The sequence below is a fragment of the Homo sapiens genome, chromosome 3, assembly GCF_000001405.40.
Source record: "Homo sapiens chromosome 3, GRCh38.p14 Primary Assembly".
Taxonomy (NCBI): domain Eukaryota; kingdom Metazoa; phylum Chordata; class Mammalia; order Primates; family Hominidae; genus Homo; species Homo sapiens.
This window is the reverse complement of record NC_000003.12, coordinates 189228712-189246084: the sequence shown is the minus strand read 5'-3', so window position 1 is coordinate 189246084 and position 17373 is coordinate 189228712. Positions and strand designations below refer to the sequence as shown.

General features: G+C 38.6%; 1 protein-coding gene and 1 long non-coding RNA gene across 23 annotated transcripts in view, besides 1 other annotated feature; one reads left to right on the top strand and one right to left on the bottom strand.

Moving 5' to 3' along the window:
* Nucleotides 1-17373, bottom strand: part of TPRG1 (tumor protein p63 regulated 1) — a 328078-nt gene that overhangs the window by 79220 nt on the left and 231485 nt on the right. For 21 of the 22 annotated variants that reach the window (XM_047448032.1, XM_047448034.1, XM_047448028.1 and 18 more), the window contains one exon: nucleotides 7176-7352. The exons of the other annotated variant lie outside the window; for it this stretch is intronic. In XM_047448032.1, coding sequence (XP_047303988.1) covers nucleotides 7176-7352 — 177 coding nt within the window. The remainder of the gene's footprint in view (nucleotides 1-7175; nucleotides 7353-17373) is intronic. 22 annotated transcript variants of the gene reach the window in all.
* On the top strand, nucleotides 5491-7399 carry TPRG1-AS2 (TPRG1 antisense RNA 2). Its single transcript, NR_046722.1, has 3 exons — nucleotides 5491-5588; nucleotides 5699-5808; nucleotides 7129-7399. It is a non-coding gene; the product is annotated as a TPRG1 antisense RNA 2 (long non-coding RNA).
* Nucleotides 6409-7608: an enhancer, noted in NCBI's record as "CDK7 strongly-dependent group 2 enhancer chr3:188956266-188957465 (GRCh37/hg19 assembly coordinates)". NCBI's record gives its function as "activates an origin of replication core promoter dependent on BRD2, BRD4, P300/CBP, MED14 and CDK7 cofactors, with strong dependence on CDK7, by STARR-seq in HCT116 cells {active_cell/tissue: HCT116}" and the evidence as "EXISTENCE:reporter gene assay evidence [ECO:0000049][PMID:35650434]".

The window sequence follows — 17373 nt, the reverse complement described above, 5'->3', positions numbered from 1 at the left end:
CTCCCACGACACATGGGGATTATGAGAGCTACAGTTCAAGATGAGATTTGGGTGAGGACACGGCCAAATCATATCACTATACAAACAGTAAGTATAAAGATGACACAGTAGTTACAATAATGTCAGATTTTAAAATAAACTTTATAACATAGAATTTTGCCAGAAATAAAGAATACTTCATAATGAAAAAAAGGCTCAATTCACCAGAAAGACACCAATCATAAATGTGCATGCACCTAATAATAGACTCAAAATATGTGAGGCAAAAGTTAACAAAATTAAAAAGAAAACTAGAAAATTCCACAGTGATAGATTTTTGCACTCCACTCAGTAACTATTAAAAAACTACACAAAAAATCAGTAAAAATATATATAATCTAAATAGCATTATCAAACACAATATCCCAATTGATATTTGTAAAAAACTACAAATAAAATTCAAGTGTACATGACAAATTCACAAAGATATATCATAATGAGCTTCATAAAACAAATCCGAAAGTATCAGTAAGGAATAAAATTAAAGACAGTATGCTCTCTAAATTAGAATTAAGTATAATTAAGATATCTATAAAAACCTGAAATATTTGGAAATTAGCCAATACAACTTACAATGCATCCATGGGTCAAGAGGAAAATCACAAGAAAAATTTAAAAATATCTCTAAATGATAATAGACACACAACATATCAAAATCTCTGGGAAGCAGCAAAAGTAGTACTTAAAAGGAAATTTATAACTGTAGATGTTCATATTAGGAAAGTTTAAAATCAATAACCTTGGGCTGCACTTCAAGAAGTTAAAAAAAGAAAAAGTAAACCCAAAGTAGAAGAAAGGAAATAATAAGGAAAAGAGTAGAAATGAACCGGGCGCAGTGGCTCACACCTGTAATCCCAGTACTTTGAGAGGCCAAGGCAGGCGGATCACCTGAGGTCGAGAGTTCAAGACCAGCCTGACCAACATGGAGAAACTCCATCTCTACTAAAAATACAAAAAATTAGCTGGGCATGGTGGCACCTGCCTGTAATCTCAGCTACTTGGGAGGCTGAGGCAGGAGAATCGCTTGAACTCCGGAGGTGGAGGCTGCGGTGAGCCAAGATCATACCGTTGCACTCCAGCTTGGGCAACAAGAGTGAAACTGCCTCAACAACAAAAAAAGAGAGCAGAGATAGAGATCAACTAATTAGTAATTAGCAAAACAATAGTAAAAGTTAACCAAGTGAAAAGCATGATCTTGTTAAAAACCAACAGAATTGGTATGATCATCAACAGAAGAGAAAAAAGAGGGAAGACACAGATCACTGATATGGTTTGGATCTGTGTCCCCACCAATTCTCATCTTGAATTGTAATCCCCAGTGTTGGAGGTGGGGCCTGATGGAAGATGATTGGATCATGGGGGCCTATTTCTCAGGAATGGTTTAATGCCATCCTCTTGGTACTCTCCTCATGATAGTGAGTGAGTTCTTGTAAGATCTGGTCATTTAAAAGTGTGTAGCATCTCCCCACTTTCTCTCTTGCTCCTGCTCCTACCATGTGAGATGCCTTGTTCCCTTTTTCCTTCTGCCATGATTGGAAACTTCCTGAGGCCTCTCTAGAAACAGAAGTTTCTGTATAGTCTGCAGAACTCTGAACCAATTAAACCTCTTTTTTTTCTTCTTTTTTTGAGATGGAGTCTCATCTCTGTCACCCAGGCTGGAGTGCAGTGGCTCGATCTTGGCTCACTGAAATCTCCACCTCCCAGGTTCAAGCAATTCTCCTGTCTCAGCCTGGGATTACAGGCATGCACCATCATGCCTGGCTAATTTTTGTATTTTTAATAGAAACGGGGTTTCACCATGTTGGCTAGGGTGGTCTCGAACTCCTGACCTCAAGTGATCCATCCACCTTGGCCTCCCAAAGTGCTGGGATTACAGGTGTGAGCCATTGCACACGGCAAACCTCTTTTTTTAATAAATTACCCAGTCGCAGATATTTCTTTATAGCAATGAGAGAACAGAATAATACAGAAAATTGGTACCAGGAATAGGGCATTACTATAAAGATACCTAAAAATATGGAAGCAACTTTGAAATTGGGTAACAGGCAGAGGTTGAATGAGTTTAGAGGGTTCAGAAGAAGACAGGAGGATGAGGAAACGTTTGGAACTTTCTAGAGACTGGCTGAGTGGTTATCACCAAAATGCTGATAGTGATATAGACAGTGAAAGCCAGGCTAATTAAGTCTCAAATGTAAATGAGAAACTTATTTGGAACTGGAGCAAAGGTCACTTTTGTTATGCCTTAGCAAGGAACTTGGCTGCACTGTGCCTCTGCCCTAGGTATCTGTGGAAGTTTCAACTTGAGAGTGATGATTTAGGATTATCTAGTGGAAGAAATTTCTAAGCATCAACACATTCAAGATGTGACCTGGCTGCTTCTAAGAACCTATACTCATACATATGAGCAAAGAAATGACTTAAAGTTGGACTCATGTTTAAAGAAGAAACAGCATAAAAGTTGGAAAATTTGAAGACTGGCCATATGGTAGGAAAAAAAAAAGCCAATTTTCAGGGGAAGAATTCAGGTAGGCTTCAGAAGTTTGCATATATAAAAAGGAGCAAATGCTCATAGCCAGGACAATAGGGAAAACAACTCACAGGCATTTTAGAGACCTCCTTGGGGGGTCCTCCCATCACAGGTCCTGAGGCCTAGGAGGACTAAACCCCCAGTGTTAGAAGTGGGGCCTAATGGGAGGTGATTGGATTATGAGGGCAGATTTAGCAGGAATGGGTATCATCCTCTTTGTATTGTCCTCACAATAGTGAGATCTGGTCACTTAGAAGTATGTAGCACCTACCCCTCTCTCTCTTGCTCCTGCTCCCACTATGCAAGATGCCTCACTCCCCCTTTGTTTTCTGCCATGATTAGAAATTTCCTAAGGCCTCCACAGAAGTGGAATCCATTATGCTTCCTGTATAACCTGCAGAACTATAAGCCAATTAAACTTATTTTCTTTATAAATCACCTGGTCTTAAATATTTCTTTATACCAATGAGAGAATAAATAAAATCACCAATATGAGGAAAGAAAGAAGATATCACTAAATATCTTATGGACATTAAAGGGATTATAAGGAAATATTATTAACAACTTTATGCCTTCAGCTGCAACAACTTAAATAAACAACAAATTCCTTTAAAAATATAATTTATCAAAATTAATATGAAATAAAAAAATTAGTCCTCTTAGGCCTCAGGACCTGTGATGGGAGGGCCTCCTGAGGAGAAAAAATTATGATAAACACAATATTTATAAAAGAAATTAACTTTATTATGAGAATTTCCCACCAAGAAATGATCAGGCCAAGATTTCCCTTATTAACTCTATCAAACAGTCAATGAAAAGATAACTCCACTCATATAAAAAATCTTTTAAAAAATAAAAGAGGAGGGAACATTTTCCAACTTGTTTTATGATGGCAGCATAGCCAAAATATGAAAACCTAGCAAAAACATTTTAAAAAATGAAAATAACAGACTAATACCCCTCATGAACACAGGCACAAAAATTATCCATAAAATATTAGCAAACTAAATCCACTAATGCATAAAAAGAATAATATGTCACAACCAAACATGTTTACCTTAGGAATGAAGAACTGACTTAATATTTGAAAATCTTAATAAAAATAAGACTTTCAAACATTAGACAAGCTGATTAAAAAATAAATATGCATAAATAAAAAACGATTAATAAATGGGGAATAACTCAACCAGATATTGACACATAATATAAGGTTATAATAATTAAAACCATTTTGAGCTTTAAGAGACACAAATGGAATGGAATAGAAAATCCAGGTACAGAAACACACAGAGAAAAGTACTACATTATAAAATAATAAACATAAAATATCAAATATATGATATCGAGAAATCTAGCCTGCCATCTGGATAAAAATTCAAGTTGATTGCATACCTTCTTCTTTACTCAAGGCAAATTTTAGATGAAATATAAGTTCGTTGTTAACAGTAAAATAAAATTACTAGACAAAAACTTGGAAATTTACTTTATAATTATAGTATGGAGAAAGCTTTTCTCAAAAAGACATAAATTTAGAAGCCTTGAAAGAATGAGAAATTTGATACCTGTATTAGTTTGTTTCACACTGCTGATAAAGACATACCCCAAACAGGGAACAAAAAGAGGTTTAATTGGACTTACAGTTTCACATGGATGGGAAGACCTCAGAATCATGGCAGGAAGCAAAAGGCACTTCTTACATGGTGGCAGCAAGAGAAAATGAGCAAGAAGCAAAAGCAGAACCCCGTAATAAACTCATCAAATCTCATGAGACTTATTCATTATCACAAGAATAGCACTGGAAAGACCAGCCCCCATGATTCAATTACCTCTCCATGGGTCCCTCCCACAACATGTGGAAATTCTGGGAGATAGAGTCCAGGTTGATATTTTGGTGGGGACACAACCAAACCATATCAATACCCCAAAACTAAAGGTCATGAAAAATAGCATAATAATGTTAAAAGAGATATGACAAACTGGGAAAAATTTATTTGCAACATATAGGACAGAAAAGGAATTCAGTTCTCTAATACACAAATAGCTCTTACAAATCAATAAGAAAAAAATTAAACATCCCAACAGGAAAAAAAAAATGGGCTATAGTCATAAATAGGCAGTTCACAGAAAAATAAATAATATGGCTTTCTAACCCAAGGATAAAAACACATATCGTTCTTCAAATTCTAGTGATGCAATTTGAACCCCAAATAAGAGACTTTTCTTTACTATCTCACTGGCAATGTAAAAAGGTTTTGTAATACTTGATATTGGTGTGGGTGTGTGGAAAAGATTACCCTGATACTTTGTGAAAGTATTAATTGGTAGCACCTGTTTGGAAGGCAATTTGACAATACTCATCGGTTAAAATTTACATGACTTTGACCTAAAAATTCCACTTCTAGAAATCCATTAATACATTAAAGGAACAATTACATGTTTGTGCAAAGTCTTGTAAGCAAGGATATTTGTAGCAGCACTTTGTAGTAGCAACGGTAAAAATAGATATACATCAATGAGGGACTGGCTAAATAGATTAAGCTTAAGAGGTAATATTCTGCACTATTAAAAAACACTGAGATTGATCTATAGATGATTATATAAACCTCCAAGTTATATCACTGGTAGATATTATAGCATGAGGCAGGACAGTTTATGACATGTGCTTTCATTAGGTAAAATAATATGTAATAAATATGTGTGTAGATATGTACTTTTAAACGTGTATAGGCATATGTACACAGAGAGACCTTGATATGGTTTGACTATGTCCCCACCCAAATCTCATCTTGAATTGTAACACCCACAATTCCCATGTGTCGTGGGAGGAACCCGGTGGGAGGTGATTGAATTATGGGAGCAAGTTTTTCCTGCGCTGTTCTCGTGATAGTGAATGAGTCTCATTAGGTCTGATGGTTTTAAAAACAGGAGTTTCCCTGGACAAGTTCTTCTCTTGTTGCCACCGTGTGAGATGTGCCTTTCACCTTCTGCCATGATTGTGAGGCCTTCCCAGCCACGTGGAACTGTAAGTCCAATAAATCTTTTTCTTTTGTAAATTGCCCAATCTCAGGTATATCTTTATCAGCAACGTGACAATGGACTAATACAGAACTTTTTATTCTTTTATATTTATAGACTATTTATTTAAAAATACACAAGAAACTGTTGACTATCACCCATGGAGGGAAGGCTGAAGAACCGAGGGTCTGGTGTAGAAGAGAGAGTTCCTGAAAATGAACATTTTTGTAATATTTAAATATATATTTTACAATGTGTAATATTATTATTGAAAAAAATCAACAGTTTTAAAAGCTAATGAACTTAATAAATTAATCACTTTTTGCATCCATGAAAAGAGTAAGCAAAAATAAGTTTTTTATGTAGTATGCATAGTGTAAGGAAAGCAAGTCACTTGATGAACTCGTGCTTTTTTCTGTATATTGAAAAGATTTCAGACCCTACTATGTGCTAGTCCTAATGCCAGGTGCTTAAAGGACAACAAAATCAACATTTGCCCGCAAGGAATTCACGGTTCAATGGGAAGACCTCACATTCAGTCTTAGAGAAAGACTGTTGTTTCTCTTGCTTAGATCTAAAATGTTTAGTAAAGGCAGATGCCTCGAAGACTATGACAGGAACTTACCTAATTCAGCATTCTCCTCTGTAGACCTCACCAAGTCTCTTGGTAATTGTCAACATCTGTGAAACAGTTGACACACCTCACCACCCCTACGTCACTGAACTTCCAGGAATGATCCCAAGAGACATTTTATAAGAAGAGCTACTACCCATTTTGGTTCTATCCACTGAGCTTTACAGAATAATTTCAATTCCCAGAGGCATTACTCTTTTTAGCTACCGCTTTGGAATGTTCTTCCCCTTTGGTTCTCCTTCTTTGGCTAACTCCTGCCCAATATTAAATATTGGCTCAAGTGTTTCTTCTGAAAGTTTTCTCTGATTACGTGACACACAAATTAGGTTGAGTGCATTTTCCCCATGTTCCCACAGCTCTTTCTTCCTTACATTAGCTATTTATTTGTCACGTCCTCATACTAAAATACAAATTTACTGACATGGTTTGGCTGTGTCCCCACCAAAATATCAACCTGAATTGTATCTCCCAGAATTCACATGTGTTGTGGGAGGGAACCAGGGGGAGGTAATTGAACCATGGGGTCCAGTCTTGCCTATGCCAGTCTCTTGATAGTGAATAAGTCTCACGAGACTTGATGAGTTTAACAGGGGTTTCCACTTTTCCTTCTTCCTCATTTTCTCTTGCTGCGGCCATATAAGAAGAGACTTTCCCCTCCCGCCATAATTCTGAGGCCTCCCCAGCCATGTGGAACTGTCAGTTCAATAAACCTTTTTGTATTCCCAGTTTGGGGTATGTCTTTATGAGCAGTGTGAAAACGAACTAATATATTTACTTAAAGTTGTATCCCTGGAGGCTGACATAGAGTAGGAACTCTAGTTTAATGATTTCAACTTTCATGATTTCACTATCCTCCCTTGGGTTCTCCCAGTTTACAGGGCCAAACTGAATTTTCGGCTTGTTTTCCCTGCAGGTCCATCCCTGCTGCACCACTTCTTCAAGTATAAGATATATACTCACTTGTCCAGGGACATCCCAGGGAAGGTGAACTTGCCCAGGCAGATGCGATAGACAGCGCTCAGAGGAATCCGCTGCAGCTGCACACAACTCAGCATGATGAAGTCGTATTTGCAGATCAAGAGAGTCTTGTCTGTGACCAGTAGAATTCTCTCCTTCTCATTGTTCCAGTGGTCTATCCTATAGGAATCATCATAGCAAATAAAAATTGATGACACAGCCTAAGTTAAAAGCAATGACCTTCACATCTCTCCTAGCACAGAAAACAGTGAAGTTTGATCAACTCAGAAGAGAGAGGGGCTGAGAAATACCTAATACCACACCACTACCCCACTCAGTCTGGTCCCATGACTAAAGAAGGAGGAAAGGTGGAAGATGATGGAGAAATATTTTATCATCCCAGAACTCAAAGATAGTTGATTACCCACGATGGAATCCATTAGGGGAATACCCAGTGTGTGTTGTGTTAGCAGTCAACTGACTCATACTTCCCAACATTTTCCCAGTTCTCTAGAAAACTTCATAGAGGACATCTTCCTTCATGGACACCAAAAATATCTCTTTGTTCTAGCTGAATCCGTACCACAAATTTACTCACTACGAACTAGCCTACACTAATTTCCGAAGGTTGCACTGCTGACTGGAAGTAAGTCGGAGACTGGAACACAGGTCCGCTGTCTTCCAAGTTATCTCATTCCTATTTGCAGCTCATCCTACCATATCCTTGTGGTAGAAATGTAGTGAAACAAGTGAAGTGAGATTTTTATGAACCAGAGTAAAGTAGATAAGTAGATAAACTAGATAAGTGTTTACTGAATTAATTGGCCTCAGATGTGAGAGCCTTCCAGGACACACATGTAACATTCTGACTGAGAATTCAGAATTTCTCCAACAGAGAGAACAGAAATAAAATACAATAGCTTCTTGTTAAAAGAGAGTGAACATGGTTCATAATTCCCCAGACCGACAGCACTTTTGCTATCTGCCTACTGTAGCCTTTAGGATACAGCACTTCGAGACTTACACTAGAATTGTTTTGGTACATGTTTTGTTTTTCCCTAAAAAACTGAAAATGTTGATTGATGACCAATTCATGTCTAAATCCTCACCACACAGAATCAATCTAATGTGTAAATGGCATGGACACCCCATTCTCACCATTCTCCACACAGTAACCACAGTGCAATTCTTAACATACAAACTGAATGATGTCACTCCTTGTTCACTTTATTAAATAGCATCCCCTTGATTTTAGGTTCATAACATGGACTACACGCCTGTATAATCCGGCCTCTACTCAGGGTCATCTCAGAGTACGCTGAAACCACTCATTGTTCAAGTCATGGTTCAAATGCCTCATTCAAAGAGGATTTCCTAAACTCCTGTATAAACTTGGCCTCATTGTATTTTCTCAAAGCAGACATATTTTCCTCTTTGCAGCATTTATCACAGTTTGTAAGAAGAAATGAAGTATAAAATGCTTAGCAATGGGTACCATGTGGGCACTGACCAATCAGAATATACACCACAATACTGAAGGTAGGGAAATGCTAATAAGTACAAGCTGAGTAGGCTGAGCACCAACCCTGTGTGTGTGAGTGCGTGTGTGTGTGTGCGTGTGTGTGCATGTGTGTGTATGTGTGTTCCATGAAGGCAGAGACTGTGTCTGTTGGGCTATTCACTCCATCCCCTTCAGTCAAATAGCCTGCAGTAAATACATATCTATTGAGTGGATAAATAAGTTCCAGTTATCACCATTTTGGGAGACTTTTGGTGGTGTGAGGCTGGAGGTGGAAATCTGCAGCTTTATCACTTACTAACTCTGTAATATTGGACTTTTAACCTTTCTATGGCCCAGGTTCCACGTCTGTGAAATGAAGACAATACTAGTACTCACATCATCCATTTGGGGAGAAGATTAAAAGAAATAATTCTCTGTTAAGGCTTTATAAGTTAGCTGTTACTATTGCTGGAAGGGACCTGTGTCACTAAGTGACTTGGGTAACCCAATTATGTACCACTTCACAGTGCAGTCTAAAGACAGATAGGCAAGATGCAGTTAGGAGTTGAATCAATAGGAGGACACAGAGAAGAAGATACAAAGGACAGAAAAAGGGAGACAGAAGTGAAAGAAAGAAAGGAGAAGCAGAAAAAGGAAGAAAAGAAGAATGAGGTCATTAATTGAGGTCCTAGTATATGCCTGCCATTATATATTCATAAGTATTAGTTCTATATCTTACCACAACCCTTTGAAGAAGGTTATGGCCAAAATCACTCAGCTAGAATACCATAGTACAGTTAGTGGTATTGTGAAAGGAAATGGCATAAAGTTTAAGTCTTGGTTCAACAGTTTCCATCCAGTGGATACTCACCTCCAAACAGTGATAGTCACCTCCTCCTCCTCCACTTTGAGAGAAAGAGGAAATTCTTGAGAGTCTGCTTGACATTCTCAGTCTTAGTCAGAAAGAGATGAAGACTAAAATTTCTTATCAGATATCTACATAAACTTCCCTAAATAGATTGCATCTACTTAGCAGTAAGTTATAAGCTGCTGCCTAATAAACCAGACTTGTTTTAGTCTAAAAAAACTGCAGCTTTTGGTTGAATGGTTTTACTGAAAATGTCAGCACTCCATAATGAGATGTATTTTAAAAGGTAAAGGATTCAGAAAAAAAGGAGGATTCTTTTTAGGAATACAGAGTGCTCTGCTCTGACACAAACTCTGCATAATTTACATGTCAGGAATATCTAAATTCAAGTAAACATACAGGCTTATAAATAGTTTGGGGCCACCATCTCAAGTTCCTGGGTTGTGTATTGATTTATTTAGACATCATTCACACTTTCTCCCCTAAGAACTCATGGAGAAACATTAAATTGCATATTCCAAACATTAATAGCATTGAGCTTTAAGTGGCAATAACAACAAATATAGGAATAAAGATATATTGTGTTTGTACAGCTCAGAAAGGTTTACAAGGTCCTTGAATATCAACATTGTCCTTTAATCTTCACAAGAACCCTTTGGTCTAAATGTTATTACCCTCATTTTGAAGACAAACTAAGGTCTACAGATCCTTAAAATGACTTGTTCAATGCTCTGCACCCAACAAACAGTGGTGCAGGGACTCGACACAGGTACTGAGACACCATATCCAGGCATAGTGTTTGCTTTCTCCTCAGTACTACCAACCTTTCAAAAGTGGACCCTTCAGTGTGGTTTGTAAACATGGTAAAACCAACCTCTGCAAGAAGCTGATGTGATGAGACACACCATTCCTAGAATTTTTCCTTCTAGCAAACTTCTTCAGAACAACAATCAAGACTGTCTTTTTCCGCCCTTGTCCCCTTTCAGTGTCCCCTAGCTTGGGGAAGAACCCTCCCTCCATCCAGTTATTCAAGCTAGAGACCTGGGAGTCATTCAGACTCACCGTATTTCCTCACATTCCATGCCTAGTCCTACAAATTTTACTCCTAAGATAAAGATGTCAACACCACCCACCTCTCTCCATCTTCCCTTTCACTCTTCTAATTCAGTCTTTCATCATCTGCTGCCTAGATGATTGCAATCACTCTCACTCTAGGCTTGGGTTACTAGTCACCCAAACCTGATTTACTTACATATACTCTTGCTGCCTTCCAATCCCTTCACCCTACTGCAGTGAGGGGATCCTTTGGAAAAAAAAAAAAAAAAAGCAAACCTCATCTTTACCGCCCTACCCTGGTTCAAAACACTTCAACAGTTCTTGCTTTTCTGAGAAATTACAAAAACCTTACCCTGGTCTAAAAGTTTCTGCAGGGTCAAGCTCTACCTACTTCTTCAATTCCCTCTCAGGCCAAGTCCCTCCACTCCATTTCCTTTATCTTCTTTCAGATCCTTGTATTCACTGTGCCCCCTCCAACTTAAAGGCCTTTGTACATGCTGTTCCCTCTGCTGGCAATGTTGTTCATGAATCTCCACCTAGTTAACTCTGACAGAGCTGAGCTCCATTACCCTTTACTCCAGCAAGCCTTCTCAAACCTCTGTGGCTACTTGTCTTCTTTCTGATATACACTTTCAGACCACACATATTTCCCACTTATGGTACTTACCTTGGATGCTATTGTATAGTTATTTCTATGATTACATAATTAATGTCTGTCTCCCCTCCTATACTGTAAACTCTGAAAATACAAATTCAGTTCTTAGCCTTGTGTCTCCAAGGTTGTAGTATCCAAAACATACTTCTGAAATGAATTACTAAAAACACAAGCTATCCTGGCACTGCACAACCTATATGCCTTGGTTCATGCTGTTTGGGGAACCCGACTTTCAGGTTTATATATTGCAATAGTACCCCACAAAATAACGTATTTTCTGTCAATAAACAATCAGTAACATTGCGGAAATGTTCATGCCAAAATAGTGAGAAAGAGCAGGATACAGAATGTTACCTGCGGTATCCTTCCGATTTTGTATCAACAACAAAATAATCCACATATCAAAATGTTAACAGTGATTATTTGTAAGTGGTGGAATTTCAGGTGACTTTTATTACTTTTTATGCTTTTATTTGCCAGAGTTTACTTTTTCTGACCATAAACACATTAAACTTTTTGATATCAGTGGCATTTTTTAAATAAATTACCCATCCATAGGTTTGCAGCTTAAATGCTGTCTATTCCATGGAAACTTACCCTCACCTCCCCTACCCACAAGTGGCTAATATCTTTCCTCCCTTTAAATATGCACAAGGCCAAGCGTGGTGGCTCAGGCCTGTAATCTCAACACTTTGAGAGGTTGAGGTGGGAGGCTCACTTGAGCCCAGGAGTTTGAGACCAGCCTGGGCAACACAGGGAGACCTTGTCTCTACTAAAAATAAAAAAATAAGAAAGATAGCTGGGTGTGTTGGTCCGCGGCTATAGTCCCAGCTACCTGAGAGGCCAAGGTGAGAGGGCCACTTCAGTCCGGGAGTTTGAGGTTGCAGTGAGCTATTGTAGCACCACTGCACTCCAGCCTGGGGTACAAAATGAGACCCTGTCTCCTTCAATCAATCAATCAATCAATGTGCACATGCCTCTATCAGTGCTTCAGTTGTGGCCCTAATCACAGTTTTCTCTATGTTACAGTGCTTTCTATCCTACCCATTCCTCCCTCCACGCATATTAAATGGATGCCTCTCTAGTGTAGAATCAGTGCTTTATTTTTATCTGTGTCTCCTCACTGTGCTCAGCAAAGAGTCAAAGAGAGAGTAAGGGCTCAACAAATGAGCAGGTCACAGAATGAAAAATATAGAACCATGAGATCCATTCCCTCTGTTGTGAGAGCCCGTCTTCCCTGGCGAAGGAGTCTGTGCATCTCTTCCAGTTGCCACTTTTCCTCAGCACCATTATCACTTCCCCAATTGAGGAGATGGAGCCTAGGTTCTCCCCCAGATAAAAAGGCACCTGAGAACTCGTGAGTCTTCAGTTTCCTGGGATGACAACAGTTTCACCAGCAGAGGGCAACAGGCAACTAGGAATCACAGGCTGGATCCATCCTGAGAGCTTCCAGTGCCCACACCCAGTTACTCAAATCATCACAGATGCCCTCCCAGTGGCCCCAGTCCCACGCCCAGCAATACTTTCAGTTGCTCTTTTAAAGCTGTGTCAAATTATTTTGTGGTTTGGAAATAATTTCCTTCCAAGAAAGATTTTATTTTAATATTATTCTCTGTCTCCCTCTCTTGCACACAAACACACACACACACACACACACACACACACATACACACTCAGTAGAGGTATCTTCCTTTATATTAAATAGTTACTATTCCTAATTTACAAATCAACCTTCATGCACCCTTCAAACCTCTTAGCCCAGCCCTTGAAAAGATAGTATCTTGGCTAACAAGGAATCAGCAACCCAGGAGGAAAAAACTGAATCATTCATTCCACACGTATTCCCTGATCACCCACTGGGTTTCAGGCCCTGAAGAGGATCCAATTTTGTTTTGCTCTTCAAACACAAACAGATGAAAAATGCACGGCACTAAAGGAAAGCAATTTCTCTCCCTCTGAGTTAAGTGGAGTCGTGGAAGACCTTTAGCTAACTAATCCACAGATTCACATATTTTTCTTTCAGTCATTTGGTTCCTCTTCCCCTGGGTCTTTCCAATTTGCTTAAAATAGAGGACTCTCAAAGTAAACACAGGATACTAATAGAAACCCAATGGTCACCAACCTTCCCTGTTCCCAGGTTTCCTGACTTGACTCCCTGGAGTTCACTTTTCCCCCCACTATCCCATGCAGACAGTCACATACCAGGCTCTGTACTAATTACCAGGAACAGAGAGAATATTATACCATTATTAAGGAATATACAATCCTCTGAGATGTGAGGGGGAATATGTAAGGAAGAGTAGTGTGGTGTAACGAGGCTTGACAATGGTAACTCAAGCCCACAGAAGCTGAACTCAGGTCCCCAGATTCCCAGCCTCTTGCCCATAGGGCTTGCTACTCCATGTATCTATTCGATGCCCTTGAAAAAGGTTATCTTATCAACCCTTCATTTCCTGCTGTTTGGTAAAAATCTCAAGGTTGGAAAAGCACAAGTTGCAAAGTACGAATGATTCTTTGAAATGTTCACAAGGAAAGGACTCAGGAGTATTTATTCAGGAGTATTTATTCATTTTGTTAACACTTCTTTAAGGTGCACTTAGTATAAGACAGACAGAGTATCCCCATAAAAGACAGGTAGGAAAAACCTGGAAACACCCATTTATGTATCCCTTAAAAGCTACTTTTTCTCTTTAGTAAGGAAAGTCCTACCATGAGTTCCATCATATTGTTCCAGTTGATTACAGAAAAAAAAAGTGGCCATTTTTTTCTTTATAAAACAAAGGGCTTTGTAAGTTCTAAAAATACAATAAAAATCACAAACATTAAGTTTTAGTTGAAAGAGATAGATATACACCCAAACACACACACACACACACACACACACACACAAACCAGGTTTGAAGCTTCTGAAATTTACATGAACTGAGGAATAATTCTGCCATGAAGTTTTCTTAGATTATAACAACAGAAGCCTCCATATATTGAGGGTCTTCTATGGATCAGGTATTGTGCTAGTAGCTATGCACATATCATCTCTTTTAATCTTCACCAACAATCCTGATAAATACAGATGAGCACAAGATTCCTGAGCAGTGACGGGCTTTCTATCACACAGGTCTGGGGTTGGAAATGCAGCTCTGCCACCTACTAGCTGTATAATCTTGTAAAAGTTACTTATCCATTCTAAGATTTGGTTTTCACGTCTCCAGCATGAAGATAATAATAGTGTATTCCTCATAGGACTGTTGTTAGGATGAAAGAGATATGACATACGGAGAATTTAATGCAATACCAAGCACACAAAAATGTTCAAATATTGTTGGTTATTAATATGATGGTGACGATGATGAAGATTCTTCTAAATCCCTTAAACACTTTGTATATTCACTGAATAACAAATGAGTTAATGAGGGGGTGAGTGAAGTAAATCTACTTAAAGAGAAGTCCTCAAGCCTATAATAGTTTTCGGATATACAAAATATTTTCATTTTAATTTCCTAAAAAAATTAAAAGAGAAGTCATTAATTCCATATGTATGTGTGTGTGCATATATATATATATATATATGTTTTATAGGTGTTTGTATGAGAGAGAGAAGAAAAGAGAAAAAGGTTTCTGTCAGTTTTTCTGGCATAACTAGTTGTATTTTTATTATACTGCAAGTTACTGGAAGTTATACTTAAGTTACTCTGACTTAAAATACAGACCATGCATTATATGTAAAGTTCCCTTTGCAGGTGACTGCTGTGGAACACCTTATAAGTAAGAACCTGGAAAAGTTGGAAAAAAGATCCAAATGGAAACTCATGAGAGTATCAGTTGAAGGAGTTATGCTACATTCATTTAGATACCCTAGCCAGAGAAGCCAATGGAGGAGGCAAATACGAGCCCCCATCAGAAGACACAGGGCAGCAGCTCAGGATGATATTAATAGCTGAAAAGTGAAGTTACTGATTTGTGATTGAACTTCTTCTCACTACGTGGCATAAAGAAGGCATTTCTTTAGAAACCCAATACCAAGTAATCAGGCCAGAAGTAATCCCCCTACTGATCCAATAAATATTAATTAAGCCACTATTGCACTCCAGGCACTAGTGGTATAATGGTGAACAAAACAAGCCCCTATTCCTCTGGCGCTTACATTCTAGGAGGGGACACAGACAAAAGGAGACAGACACATCAATACAGAGACCTGGAGAAAAAGGAAATAGGAGAATACCCGGGAGAATAGTATTCTAGGTAAAGCGAAATGCTGTTGCAAAGGCCCTGAGGTGGGATCCATGGAGGTCCATGAGACAGAAAGGAGGCCAGCATGACTGAAGCAAGAGAGCAAAGAGAGTGGAGGGAGATTGGGGCAGAAGCCAGATCACATGCAGGGACACAACACATTTTTTTTTTGCAATTTATGACTATTTTTCATGTGAAATGGTTATGATCCCCCACTTTACAGATGGAACAACCAAGCCTGAATAAAGTGACATGGATGAAGTGACAGAGCCAAGGCCAGAATCCAGCTAGCTGACTCTCATCCCAGGCTGCATACATTCCATCAAGCCGCTTTTCCCACTTATTTTCCTTACAGGACCAGGCAATTTTGCTCTCTCTACTGCACTACCATCAGTAAGAGGATATTTTAAATGCTACACAAAAGTAAAGAATCTGGGCACGCCCCCATCCTTCTCTCTTTCCCACAAGACCACTGAATAGCTCAAGTACTCTACAGCACACCAGGAGCTAACAAGAGGCCCACCCCTGACCGACTTTCTCCTCCTCTGAATTCACTTGAGGGGATTCACTTGATCAGAAGCCAAGGAAGCTGGCAGGAGAACAAGACCCCATTCTAAGGAGGCTGCAAGGAGGGAAGAACAGACGGACAAGATAGCACAAATGTACACATCTTGCCACCTCCATTGTTTTATTATTTTAAGCAGCAGAGAGATCTGCCTACTGTAGTATGTTCGTTACAGCTTGTATGGTAGAGGGGACACAGCCCAGATCAGGCAAACCCAAGATGAGGCGATGTTGTAAAAATACTCTGAGGAATCCCACAGAAATCTAAGAGCAGGAACTACAGCACAGCTGGGCTTCCTGGTACCTGGAAAGACACAAGGAGCAAAAGCTACTCTCTCAAGAGTGGTCTCTGTCGTGCTTCCTGTGTCTCTCTATACACCTCATGTTTCCTCCTGACTGGTGTGCGCCCTCTGCTACCATAAATATTCATTCCTCTTTACTTCCTTCTTGCCTGTGACCTTTAATCATTTACTTAGTCCTGACTGTACATGAATTTTCAGATCTGCTTTCAAAACTAACTGCAGTATCTCTGTATCTCTCAGTTCAGATTCCCAAGATAGAGAATTTTGTTCATCCAGATCATTTCTTTAAGCTCTCCCTTTGGGTCACAGGCTGTCTAATGACTTAACCTCTCTTTGTCCAGTCAGCTACGGCCAAAGGCTGAACTTCCACCACAGAAAATAGGAACTGCCTGCCAGTTAAGAGAAGTTTATTCTTTTTAAGAATTGCTTTAGCTATTTTTTTTTTGGTCTTTCCACACAAATTTTAAAATAAATGTGTCTATACCTACAAAAATATCTTGCTTAGATTTTGATAGGAATTGCGTTTGATTTGTATTTCAAATTTGAAGATAATGGACATCTTTACTATGTTGGGTCTTCCAATCTACAAACCCGGTATGCCTCTTCATTTATTTGGATCTTCTGTGATTTCTTTTATCAGCATTGTGTAACTTTCAGTATACAAGTCCTATACATGTTTGTGCGATTTGTACCTAAGTAATTCTTCTTTATTTTGCATGATTACAAGTGTTATTGCATTTTTAATTTTAGCTTTTACTTCTTTATTGCTAGTATATAAAAATATAACTGACTTATGGTGCTGATCTTGTATTCTGAAAATTTGCTGAAATAATTTATTAGATCTGGACAGTTTTTTTGGTAGACTCCTTATAATTTTCTAAATAGATTATCATGTCATATACAAATAGAGATAGTTAATATTTTTCCTTTCTGATTTGTATGCATTTTGTTTTATTTTTGCCTTATTTTGCTGGCTAGAACTTCCAGTATTACATTGAATTACTAGAGTATTCAATGTAGTGAGAATG